Raw genomic sequence first — 13,065 nt, forward strand, 5'->3', positions numbered from 1 at the left:
CTTACTCTACTGTAAAAAAATAATGTCACACTTGTAGTGGATTCTACCATCTGCTGCCCTGATTCCCCTTCAGGAATGAAAAGCTTATTATTTTAATTGCCAGGAGTGCGGCAAGTAGACAGTCCTCAGCTGTCAGCCCTCTTCAGGAATTTCCTCAGCTGAAGAAAGCCACCTCCCCCAAGGTTACACCCCCTACCTGGGGGTATTTCACATCCAATTACTGATGGATATGGCCTTCTTGCCCCAAATTGGGACAGCTTAACTCCTCCCTCTGTCCAATCCTGCTTCCTTCTTTTCCCTTCCACAGGTGTTGATCCCAAGAGCATTCCCTAGTAAAAACGCTTCATGCTGAACTCTATCTCTGGGCCTGCTTCCTGGGAAGCCAACCTGCAACAGTTGGTACAAGAAGTGGTTCGAGAAAGCAAACACTGTGATGAAATTTTGGAGATGAATCACCTGCTACCCAGCTGTCAATGAAGACTCCATCATTGGTGGTAGGTGGAGTAGATAGGCCTCTGGAATAAGGTAGCAGAGGAATTGTTAAAATTTTCAATGGTGGTTAACTGGGTTGGCATACTGGTAAAATGGGACACATTAACTGGTGCCATGTATCAGACCTTTGAGAAATATGGGATATATTAAATATAAGGAAGGCCAGAAAATTGGGCGGCTGTTGCTAAGCAGATTGAGCTCTGGAAAAGAATAACAAAAAGCTGAATTAAATTAATCAACAATTGAAAGCTATGTTTGAAAGTCAGATGGCTTTATTCATAACATATAAAGAGGCTCTCATCTTTTCCAGGTAGAAGGTGGAGAAATCTGAGGAGTAGACTCAGGATTTGTTAAAAGCAAGCTTCAAAGAAAGTTAAAATTCTAACCAAGACAAGTCTTCTATGCCGAGTTATGTGCCATGGTTAAGAAGGAATGGGACTCTGACACTTGGAATGGGGGACATCTGGATTGATGTCCCTAAAAATCTTATATCCCCAGATTCCCCTGAGCCCCTTGAGAAGTGTCCTACTCCTCCCTATTAAGGGCTGGCACTCCATCTTGCTTCAATATATGGAATCCTTTCCCCTGTAAGATAACCTGGGTTTTCCTCAGAATCTGCCCGCACCTCCTATCCTGGCCACTGGGCCTATAACTAGGGTTAAGCCACGCATAATCTAGCTGGTGATGTGCTGGGTGTAATAAGGAAAGAAAGAGAATACACCAACAAAGAGTTTCGGGACATAACCTAGCCAGCATATACTAGAAGGTGCTGAGGGAGTAAGTATGGCATCAAATTCTAAGGAGCTTGATCAGGAGGGCTGGAATATAAACTGGAATATGGGAGAATTAATCAATTTGAAAGTGCTTTCCCAGAATACAGGATTTAATACCCTGGAGAAAACCACAGGAAATGACACGAACTCATTACTGCGATGGCTCCTCGAAGTATGGAAAAAGCCATGGCGTACATAAAGTGAGGTGTAAATGCCAGAGTTGCCATAGAAGATGGCGGGAAAAGGGATCAAAGACTCAGAGAGGTGAGAATTATATAATAAACCTATTATGTAAGGCCAGAAAACCCTCCAGAAGATTATATTCTACAGGAGGATCCAAAGGACAAACCATTTACCAAAGCTATAAGAAATATTCTGGTGAGAGGGACATCAGCATCACTGAGAAGTTCAGTAGTGGATCTCTTTTGCATGCCAGGGCTCAGAGTAGGAGAGGATCTTATGGAACAAGGATCACTGATAGAAATGATGATGCCTCTGAAACAATAGAGGCAAGATAGTTGCACTTAACTGTCAGAAGTTAGGCGGATGTAAATACCACAATGCACTGCAGGGTCAGAGTGGCAGGTGGGGAGGCCTGACCTGCAGAGAGCTATGGAGATGGTTAACAGAACACAGTACCCCTAGTGGGTAGATGGTTAAGAGACAGTTAATAGGACATGGACAGTCAATACAACATAATGTCCTGGGGGGAAATAGGCAGCCAACAATCTGCACTCTATACAATCAAAAGAAATGAAAGGTGTTCACAGGTTTGAGGGAGGTTGCCTCAATAAAAAGTCATAATTACTTATCCAGCTTCTAGTCTCAAGTCAGCTTTTGATCCACAATACATGGTTTGAAAGAAAGGCCGAGTGCCCAGGAAGAAGGACCCTACAACGCATGTGTAGTAATGATTTCTCTGGTCCTTCCATTTACTCAGGTAACTGTGTACCAAGGAAAGAGAAATACTCGAACATTTTGAGAACAGATGGACACTGGTTCTGAGTTGATATTGACACCCAGAGACCTAAAGTGTCTTAATTGTCCCCCTTATTAGAATGGGGGCACATGGGAGCCAAGTATTAAGGGGGATCCTGGCCTAGGTAGGGTTCACAGTGGGCCCACTGAGTTCACAGACCCACTCAGTGGTTATGTTTTTGATCTCTGAATGTATAATTGGAATAGACATAGTTGGTTAGTTGGTACAAGCCCTATAGTAGTTCTTTGGCCTGTGGAGTCAGAGCTATTTGTAGATGAGAAGGCCAAGTGGAAGCTTCTGAAACTGCCCTCACCTTCCCTGGCCAAGATAGTAAATGAAAACATATGGCATCTGTGGAGTGGAGGATGGCAGAAATTATTGCCGCCTTTGAAGACCTAGAGAATGAAGAGGTGTGGTCTCCATCATATCTTCGTTTAATTCACCAGTTTAATCCCCTGCAAAATGTGGACAGAGCCTAGATGACACTAGACTACTGAAAACTCAGCCAAGTAGTAAGACAATTGCAATGGCATACCAGACATGATATCTTTGCTACAGCAGAAAGCATGGCCTTAAGTACCTAGTTTTTAGCTATTGATTTAGAAAATGTGTTTTTTTCCCTATCTGTATCATAATGGAAAGTTCATATTCACACAGAATGGATAACAGTATGCATACACAGTTTTTCCTCAGTGCTCTACTAACTATCATGTCCTCTGTCATAATATAGTCTGAAGAGGTCTGGACCACTCGAACATCCTTCAGAATATAGTACTAGTCCACAATGTCTGTGACATCATGCTAATTGGACCAAAATAAGTAGGAAGGGGCCAGCACATTGGAGGCCTTAGTAAGGCACATGCACTATGGAGAATGGGAGATGAACCCTACAAAGATCCAGGCGGTTGGCCACATTAAGTATAATTTTTAGGGGTTGAATGGCCTGGGGAATGCTAGAATATCCTCTCAAAGGGAAGGACAAATTAAGGTATTTTTTACCTTCTTCACAGAGAATTTTCTGGAAGTGCACTGCCTGGTAGGCCTCTTTGGGTTCTGGAAATATCACATTTCACACCTGGAATTACTGTTTCACCCCATATACTGGGTGACACAAAAAGTGCCAGCTTTGAGGAGAACTATAGCAGAACAAGGCCCTATAGCAGGTCCAGGATGCATTTTTAGGCAGTCCTGCCACTTGATGCATACAAGAGACAGTCCTTATGGTACTGATTCAGGTGAACTCCAAAAGTGGGGCTTAGCCCGGGAGGGTTCTTGGCTTCACTCAGGAAAGAATTCAAGAGCAAGCTGACGGTAAAAGAAGGCAAGTTTATTAGAGCAATAGTGTATAGCAAAATGGCTGCTCCATGGACAGACCAGGGCTGTCTCATAGGCAAAGGAGCCCTGAGTAGCAGTGTGCAGCAAAGTTGCTGCTCCACAGGCAAAGCAGCCTGGAGCAGCAGTAGCAGCAGCAGCAGCAGCAATATATAGCAACAGTAGCATTCTGGAGCAGCAGAGGGAGCAGTAGCAGCAGTTCTGCTGGCTAGCTATATTTATACCCACTCATAATTATATGCTAATGAAGGAATGGGTTTTTGGAATTTTCTAGAAAAGGAGTGGAAAGTTCCTAGAACCATATAAGGCAACTTCTAGGTCATTGCCATGGCACATTGCCATGGCATTTGTAAACTGTCATGGCACTGGTTGGAGTGTCTTTAATAATGAGCAGTGAGGACAACCAGAGGTTGCTTTTTTCATCATCTCCTGGTGTCTTTACTGCATCCTGTTTTTGATGAGCAGGGCCATTACCAGTGCTTGGAAAACAAGTCCTGCTGATGTCCTATCTCAGTATTAGAGGTATCTGTGTTGGAAAAAGATGCCATGTGGAGTTTTTGGAAGTCCCTATGGGAAAGGCCCTATGGGAAGCCCCTATGGGGAAATCGCAACTTAGCTAGGGTTGTGGAGCAAAGCCATGTCATATGAATGGAAAATTATATACCTTTTAAGAACAGCTCCTGACATGCTACTACATCCTGGTAGAGATGAAATGCCTGACTATAGAACATCTAGTGGCCATGCAGCCAGAACTGCTTCATGAGCTGAGTTCTGTCAGATCCACCAAGGTATAAGGTTGAGTAGCCCCGGCAATGAGATGGAAGTTTCTTTTTTGTTTCTCTTTTTGAGACAGGGTCTTGCTCTGTCACCCAGGCTGGAGTGCAGTGGCACGATCATGGCTCACTGCAGCCTTGACCTCCTGGCTCAAGTATCCTCCCACCTCAGCCTCCTGAGTAGTAGGAATATAGTCACACACCATCATACCTCGCTAATCTTTTAATTTTTTTGTAGAGCTTAGGCTCCACTATGTTGCTCAGGCTGGTCTCAAACTCCTGGGCTTGAGGGCCTTTCCTGCCTTGGTCTCCCAAAGTGCTGGGATTAGAGGCATGAGCCACTGTGTCCAGCCAAGATGGAAGTTTTATATATGGGATCAAGCACAAGCAGGACTGGAGGGCATAAGCAGTTGCACAATCAGGTAGAGCAGATCCTCTATGATAGCCACCACTGTTGCACTAGTACCTTTCCTTATCTATAGCTATGACCTTACACCAGATCCTATGTGACACAGGCATTCAAGTGTTCTTTATTTTTTTTTTATTTTTATTTTTTTCTTCTTCTTTAGGACAATTTGCTTAATTTATTGCCTTGGAATTTTTTTTCTCTTTTTTTAATTATACTTTTAGGGTACATGTGCACAATGTGCAGGTTAGTTACATATGTATACATGTGCCATGCTGGTGTGCTGCACCCATTAACTCGTCATTTAACATTAGGTATAACTCCTAATGCTATCCCTCCCCCCTCCCCCCACCCCACAACAGGCCCTGGTGTGTGATGTTCCCCTTCCTGTGTCCATGTGTTCTCATTGTTCAATTCCCACCTATGAGTGAGAACATGCAGTGTTTGGTTTTTTGTCCTTGTGATAGTATGCTGAGAATGATGGTTTCCAGCTTCATCCATGTCCCTATAAAGGACATGAATTCATCCTTTTTTATGGCTGCATAGTATTCCATGGTGTATATGTGCCACATTTTCTTAATCCAGTCTATCATTGTTGGACTTTTGGGTTGGTTCCAAGTCTTTGCTATTGTGAATAGTGTTGCAATAAACATACATGTGCATGTGTCTTTATAGCAGCATGATTTATAATCCTTTGGGTATATACGCAGTAATGGGATTGCTGGGTCAAATGGTATTTCTAGTTCTAGATCCCTGAGGAATCGCCACACTGACTTCCACAATGGTTGAACTAGTTTACAGTCCCACCAACAGTGTAAAAGTGTTCCTATTTCTCTACATCCTCTCCAGCACCTGTTGTTTCCTTACTTTTTAATGATCACCATTCTAACTGGTGTGAGATGGTATCTCATTGTGGTTTTGATTTGCATTTCTCTGATGGCCAGTGGTGATGAGCATTTTTTCATGTGTCTTTTGCCTGCATAAATGTCTTCTTTTGAGAAGTGTCTGTTCATATCCTTCGCCCACTTTTTGATGGGGCTGTTTGTTTTTTTCTTGTAAATTTATTTGAGTTCATTGTAGATTCTGGATATTAGCCCTTTGTCAGATGAGTAGATTGCAAAAATTTTCTCCCATTCTGTAGGTTGCCTGTTCACTCTGATGGTAGTTTCTTTTGCTGTGCAGAAGCTCTTTAGTTGAATTAGATCCCATTTGTCAATTTTGGCTTTTGTTGCCATTGCTTTTGGTGTTTTAGACATGAAGTCCTTGCCCATGCCTATGTCCTGAATGGTAATGCCTAGGTTTTCTTCTAGGGTTTTTATGGTTTTAGGTCTAATATTTAAGTCTTTAATCCATCTTGAATTAATTTTTGTATAAGGTGTAAGGAAGGGATCCAGTTTCAGCTTTCTACATATGGCTAGCCAGTTTTCCCAGCACCATTTATTAAATAGGGAATCCTTTCCCCATTTCTTGTTTTTGTCATGTTTGTCAAAGATCAGATGGTTGTAGATATGTGGCATTATTTCTGAGGGCTCTGTTCTATTCCATTGGTCTATATCTCTGTTTTGGTACCAGTACCATGCTGTTTTGGTTACTGTAGCCTTGTAGTATAGTTTGAAGTCAGGTAGCCTGATGCCTCCAGCTTTGTTCTTTTGGCTTAGGATTGACTTGGCAATGCGGGCTCTTTTTTGGTTCCATATGAACTTTAAAGTAGTTTTTCCCAATTCTGTGAAGAAAGTCATTGGTAGCTTGATGGGGATGGCATTGAATCTATAAATTACCTTGGGCAGTATGGCCATTTTCACGATATTGATTCTTCCTACCCAAGTGTTCTTTAATAAGTTTGTGTGTGTGTGTGTGTGTGAGAGAGAGAAGGAGGGAGAGATTCTAGACCCCAGACCCTTCAAAACATGGGACTTAGGGGGGCCTTCTGGCTCAGTCCTAAGAGCCCTCCTGCCTAGTTATGAGGCTAGGGTAGCAGTGGACAACATTTCTAAATGTTTTGGAGAGATAGCTGGTCTTATAGTCAGTTCTGGGTCTGACTCTGGCCCCGGGTCCCCAGATTCTTACTCTAGTGTTGTTGTAGTAGTAGACTTAGGGCTTAGAGGCTGGTTTAAGATTTTGAGTACAGTGGGTTTGCTGGGTCATGCACATATAAGAAATCATATAACACCACTTTTCAAAGGTGAAAATGCAATCCTTCTTCTTGGGCAAAAAGGTCCATTTCTGAAAATCATATGAACTGATTGGTCCTTGAGGCAGTTTAGTGTAGGGGAAAGAATATAATCTGGAGTGAGGAATGAATGGGGAGGGATATTAACATTTCTCTTCCCCTTTTATTTTTCAGACATAAAGGAGAAGATTTGGGAGAGGGAGAGGATTAATCCTGATTTGAACTCTTCGAATTTGAAGTGCTTATGTACTATGATTTGAATATGGTTTATCCCCATCCAAAGTCATGTTGAGGATGGGTTCCCAATGTGACAGTGTTGGGAGGTGGTACCCTTAAGAGGCATTTGTGTCATGGGGAATCTCTCCTGATGAGGGTATGAATGCAGTCTCTTTGGAGTGGGAGAGTTCTTGTGCTCATGGGACTGGATTAGTTACTGTGAGGAGGTTGGTTGTTATAAAGTGAGTCTGCCTCTTGTGCTTGGTGTCTTTTGCGTGTACCTGTTTCCCCTTTTGTTTCTTTGCCATGTTTTGATGCCCTCAAAAGAAGTTGTCGGATGTGACTGCCCAGTCTTGAACTTCCCAGCCCTCAAAACTGTGAGTTAAATAAAACGTTTCTTTATAAATGTCTAAGTCTTAGGCATTCTCTTATAGCAACACACAACAAACTAAGACACTGTGGGACTTCCAAGTGGAGAAGCTCAGTATTGATTTGAGAGGTATGGGTCTAGAGCTCAGAATAAATGTCTGGGCTGAATATACATATTACAGATGATAACAGAAGAGTAAGTCAGGTAGCCTCAGTGAAGAGTACAGATGGAAAAACTGAGGACAGAACACTGAGGAAGCCTAGTACATGTGGGGCTTTGGCAGAGAATAGCGCAGAATTGAAACCGAGGGTACAGCCTTCCAGCAGTATTATCATGCATGTCCTTGTACATCCTTCTTTTTTCTTTAAAAAATTGTGATAAAATATACATAACATTTACCATCTTCACCATTTTTAGGTGTACAGTTCAGTGACATTAAATACATTCACATTGTTGTGCAACCATTACCACCATTCATCTCCAGAACTGTTTCCTTTTCTTTTATTTTTTGAGATGGATTTTCGCTCTTATTGCCCAGGCTGAAGTGCAATGGCACAATCATGGCTCACTGCAACCCCCACCTCCTGGGTTCAAGCGATTCTACTGCCTCAGCCTCCCAAGTAGCTGGGATTACAGGCACCTGTCATCACTCCCGGCTAATTTTTTGTATTTTTCATAGAGACGGGGTTTCACCATATTGGCCAGGCTGGTCTCGAACTCCTGACCTCAGGTGATCCACCCACCTTGGCCTCCCAAAGTGCTGGGATTACAGGTGAGAGCCACCACGCCCCGCCCAGAACTGTTTTCATCTCCCAAACTGAAATGTTTACCCATTAAACAGTAACTCCTCCCACTGCTCCCTCAGCCCCTGCAAAGTGCTATTCTACTTTCTATTTCTATGAATTTAACTACTCAAGGTGCCTCATTTTAGTGGAACCATATATGATTTGTCCTTTTGTGACTTAGCATAATATTCTTCTATTAGTCTACTTGGGCCGCTACAACAAAATACCACAGACTGGGTGGCTCACAAACAGCAGAAACTTATTTGCTGGAGGCTAAGGAGTCCAAGATCAAAATGCCAAAAGTTTCTGGTAAGGGCTTTTTTCATGGCTTGTCAATGGCTGCTTTCTCACTGTGTCCTCATGTGGCCTTTCCTTGGTGCGTTGAGAGAGAGAGAGAAAGAGAGAGAGAGACACTTTCTGATGTCTCTTCTTATAAGGATACTAATCCTACAAAATCAGAACCCCACCCTTATGATTTCATTTAACCTCAATTACTTCCTTAGAGGTCCTATTTCCAAATACAGCCACATTGAAAGTTAGGGCTTTAACATGTGAATTTTGCGGGGACACAACCATTCAGTCCATAATGGTTCTCAAGCTTCCAGTTCTTTACACAGAATTGGAGTACTCTATGTTCAATTTCAGAACCTGGTTTTTAAAATGTAATTTTCATAGTTATAGGGTACCATAACAATTACAGAAATCCTACAGAACCTTCCTTCATCCTTCCCCACCCCAGATTTCTGCTTCCAAATTAATTTCAATTTCCTTTTAAAATTACTTTTAATTCCAGATTACTTACAATTCTCTTAACTATTTCTTCTGATATTGCCTTTATATTTTTTATTAACTATTTTATTTCTTGATTTTTAAATTTTATGTATCAGCTGGGACTTCCTACAGTGGAAGGATTCAGTTGTCTTATACCTCCCATCCTATACACAACCATACTTCTCCCATATTCTCCCAATATATTGTTGTTGTTGTATCACTATATTATGTTCAATCAATATTCAGTGTTTACATTATGTCTATGTAAGGATTTTTCACAATTGAGACATTAGAAGGAGAGGCAGGTAAGTGCATGGACTCTGCCACTAGACAGCCTGGCTTCAAATCCTGAATTTGTCATGTAATAGCTACATGATCTTGAACAAATCTCTTCCACTCTCTGTCTCACTTTCCCCATATTTAAAATGGGAAATGGCATATCTCATAAGATTTCTATGAGGATTAAAAGATTAAGCACTCAGAGTCATACTTGGTACATAGTAATTGGCATCTATTATATATTATTGTTGTCCATTATATAAATTTTTTCCCTAGAGTTCATGGATCCTTCTGTATTCCTGCTCCATTTTGGAAGATTACCCTTCAGGCCTAATGTACAGCTATTGTCCTAGAAACTCCCTTGTCATCATAGTGGAATTTTCTTAGTCTCTTTTTCATGTTGGATCTTGCTTTCCCTACATCCTATGGCTTAATCTTTCTTGATTTATGACCTCATTTTGACAAAGTAAATCTAGGTTTATGAGAAAGAGTGTATAGTATATAAATACCTTGAGATTTTGCCTGTCTGAAAATGCCTGTATTCTACCCTTACACTTGACTGGTAATTATTGGATATAAAATTCTAGGTTTAGGTCATTTCCCTCAGAATTTTAAAAATTTACTTTTCAAATCAAAGCTGTATATGCATATAGTTTAAAAATCCAATACAGTCATGCACTGCATAACAACATCAATGATGGACAGCATATACAATGGTGGTCCCATAAGATTATAATGAAGCTGAAAAATTCCTATCAGCTAGTGATGTCGTAGCCATTGTAATGTCGCAGCACAACACATTACCTTTTCTATGTTTAAATGTTTAGATATGTAAATACCATTGTGTAACAATTGCTAACAGTATTCAGTACAGTAACACGCTGTTCAGGTCTATAGCCTAGAAGCAATAGTTTATACCATATAGCCCAGGTAGGTAGTAGGCTATATCATCTAGGTTTGTGTAAATATACTCTGTAATGTTCACACAATGACTGTATCACCGAACAATGCATTTCTCAGAACGTATCTTCATTGTTAAGCAATGCATGAGTATAATCATACAAGGCTAATGTATTAGTCCTCTTGAGCTTCCATAACAAAATTCCACAGGTTGGGTGGATTAAACAACAAAAATTTATTTTCTCATAGTTATGCAGGCTAGAATTCCAAGATCAAGACGCAGTCAGCATTAGTTTCTGGTGTAGCCTCTCTTCCTGGCTCGTATATGGCCACCTTCTTGTTGTGTCGTCACATGGCCTTTTCTCTGTGTGGGCGTGGAGATAGAGAGAGATCTTTGTTGTCTCTTCTTATAAGGACACCAATCCTATCAGATTAGGGCTCTATTCTTAGTACCCAATTTAACCATAATTACCTCCTTAAAGGCTCTATCTCTGAGTACAGTCACATTAAGGGTTTAGGGCTTCAATATATAAATTTTGGGGGACATGATTCAGTATATAACAGCTTACTATGAAAAACAGCAATATCCTTGTATCGCAACACTATTTTCTACACCCAGAAGCAATAAATTTCAACTCTTTTAATGTATTATTTTGGTATTATCTACCTATGTCAAAATAACATACTTATATTGTTTCTTGATTTTTGAGTTTTAAGTCACTGACTTCCCACTATGGGAGATGAGTTTAGCTCTTCTTTTATACTCACCCCTGCTTATTGTAATCATACATTTCTACATTTCTTATACCCTGCCCTCTCAATTGCTTTATTCTTATTTTAGTTATATTGACAGTATTATGTTGACTATGTACTTGTTATTGACAGTTGAGTTACATAGTATATTAGGATTATTTTTTCCTGTCCTGCACAACTTTTTATTTTCTCTAGATTTAATTTCTTCCCCCCTCTCTTTTTCTATGTATTTATCACCAATTTATTTCCAAAATATACTCCCAATTATGTAAATATTCTTCCATTATGTTTAAATAAATTAGGTATTCCAACAATTTCATTTTCTGGACAAAGTTTCTCTTGGGAATCTTTGGACCTGCTTTAAACTAGACTGGTTGCACTCTAGGCATGCAACACAACTTTTATTTTGGGATTTCTTTTCACAATAATCTTGGTGACTTTCCTTGCTCACTATTGTGTTAGATTCACTGTTTCCTGGATCTCACATCTCCCTCTTTCTTGGTTTATGCTCTCTTTTGGCAGAACAGAACATATCTTCCAGTAGCTTCCTGAGAAAGTGTATATGCAAAGCACACTTCTGAGATCTTTCAGGTTTGAAAGTCATTTTTCTTTTTTTTTAATCAAAAAATTTTATGTAAGCAAACAGCATACAGTATTAAAGGAAAAATATTTAATATATTCAAGAATCACATCATGACAAATGATACAAATTTGTGAAATATCATTTCTTCCTCTTTTTGTATTTTTTTGTAGATGGTTTTGCCACATTGCCCAGGATGGCCTTGAACTCCTGGGCTCAAGTGATCCACTTGCCTTGGCCCCCCAAAGTGCTGGGATTACAGGTATGAGACACTGAGCACTTTTCTATTTTAACTAAACTTGCCATCTTTTCCCCTGTGCTTTTCTGTTACTGTCCCCTCCTGTTTTCCTACTACATTGACAGGTTATCTTGAAAATGTCATTTTTCTACTCCAATACTTGATTGATAGCTTGGCTGGAGATGGAATTTTGAACTGGAAATTCTCTAAGAATTTTGAGGACATTGTTTCATTGTATTTTAGCTTCCAGTGTTGCTGTTGAGAAGTCAGATGTTACTCCAGTTCTTTTTTATATATTTACTTTTTCACTAGGTAATACATTCACATGGTTCAAATTAATAATAAAAAATGCAGTGAAAAACCTTCCTCCAACCAACATTCTTCTTCCACTCAGTTCCCCTTTTCCGAAAACAGATAACTATTGTTATTAGTTTCTTTTTCATACTTCCAGGATTTCATCTTGCATATGTAAGGAAACATAAATGTAAATATTCTTATTTTACCCCTTTTATAAATGATGAAATATAGAATATATATACGCATATATTCACACACTTGCTGTCCTGCACTTTGCTTTTTTTAGGTTGTTTATTTGCTTGTTTTACTTAACAATATATCACGGAAGTCTTTCCACATGAGTACATAATTTACTCACATTTTACAGCTGCATAATCTCCCTTTGTGTGAATGTACCAATTTTATTTAGAAAGCTCTCTTCCAATGAATATTTTGATTATTTCCAGTCACTCCAATGACAAACATTGCTTCAGTAAATAATCTCCAGTCTTCTGCCAGGGTCGGGGAGTGATAGTCACTGAGGTACTTGGAGTGGAAGGGTGAGGGTCTGTTTTTGAAACATTTAACCAAGCCTCCTATTTTTGGTCTTATTTTCACCCTTGCTTATTACAGAATACTATTCTCTGAGGTTGGGGGTTATGTGATGTAAGTTATATTACTTCTCACCTTTCTCTACTTTAGGGATAGGATGCAGCTATCTCAAATCTAATAAGTTGATTGCAATGTGCCCATCTGTACTCCAGCTTCTAAAATTGTGTTACTGTTGTCTCCTATCCTTTTCTTTTTTTATTGTACCTTTAAATATCTTTACTGTAATTTTAATGGGATTTTTAGGAAGAAATAAAGTCTAATGCTAAGTTCATCCCCAAATATTTTATTGGGAGTTCATGCCTTAGAATTTTGAAATTATCCTTCTGAAATCGTTTAGTTGTGTGTGGTTTGAGAAGCCTA

The 13,065-nt window shown here is 39.9% G+C and overlaps 1 protein-coding gene across 5 annotated transcripts in view; it reads left to right on the forward strand.

Moving 5' to 3' along the window:
- ARMCX4 (armadillo repeat containing X-linked 4) overlaps window positions 1–13,065 on the forward strand; it is a 117,711-nt gene that overhangs the window by 79,560 nt on the left and 25,086 nt on the right. For 3 of the 5 annotated variants that reach the window (NR_045864.2, NR_045862.2, NR_045861.2), the window contains 4 exons: window positions 308–1,529; window positions 7,100–7,518; window positions 11,527–11,590; window positions 11,753–11,841. The gene's annotated coding sequence lies outside the window, so the exon portion shown is untranslated. Of the gene's footprint in view, window positions 1–307; window positions 1,530–7,099; window positions 7,519–11,521; window positions 11,591–11,752; window positions 11,842–13,065 lie in introns of all 5 variants that reach the window. The other 2 variants (NR_028407.3, NR_045863.2) reach the window with 1 other exon arrangement.

Source organism: Homo sapiens, chromosome X (genome assembly GCF_000001405.40).
Source record: "Homo sapiens chromosome X, GRCh38.p14 Primary Assembly".
Classification (NCBI taxonomy): domain Eukaryota; kingdom Metazoa; phylum Chordata; class Mammalia; order Primates; family Hominidae; genus Homo; species Homo sapiens.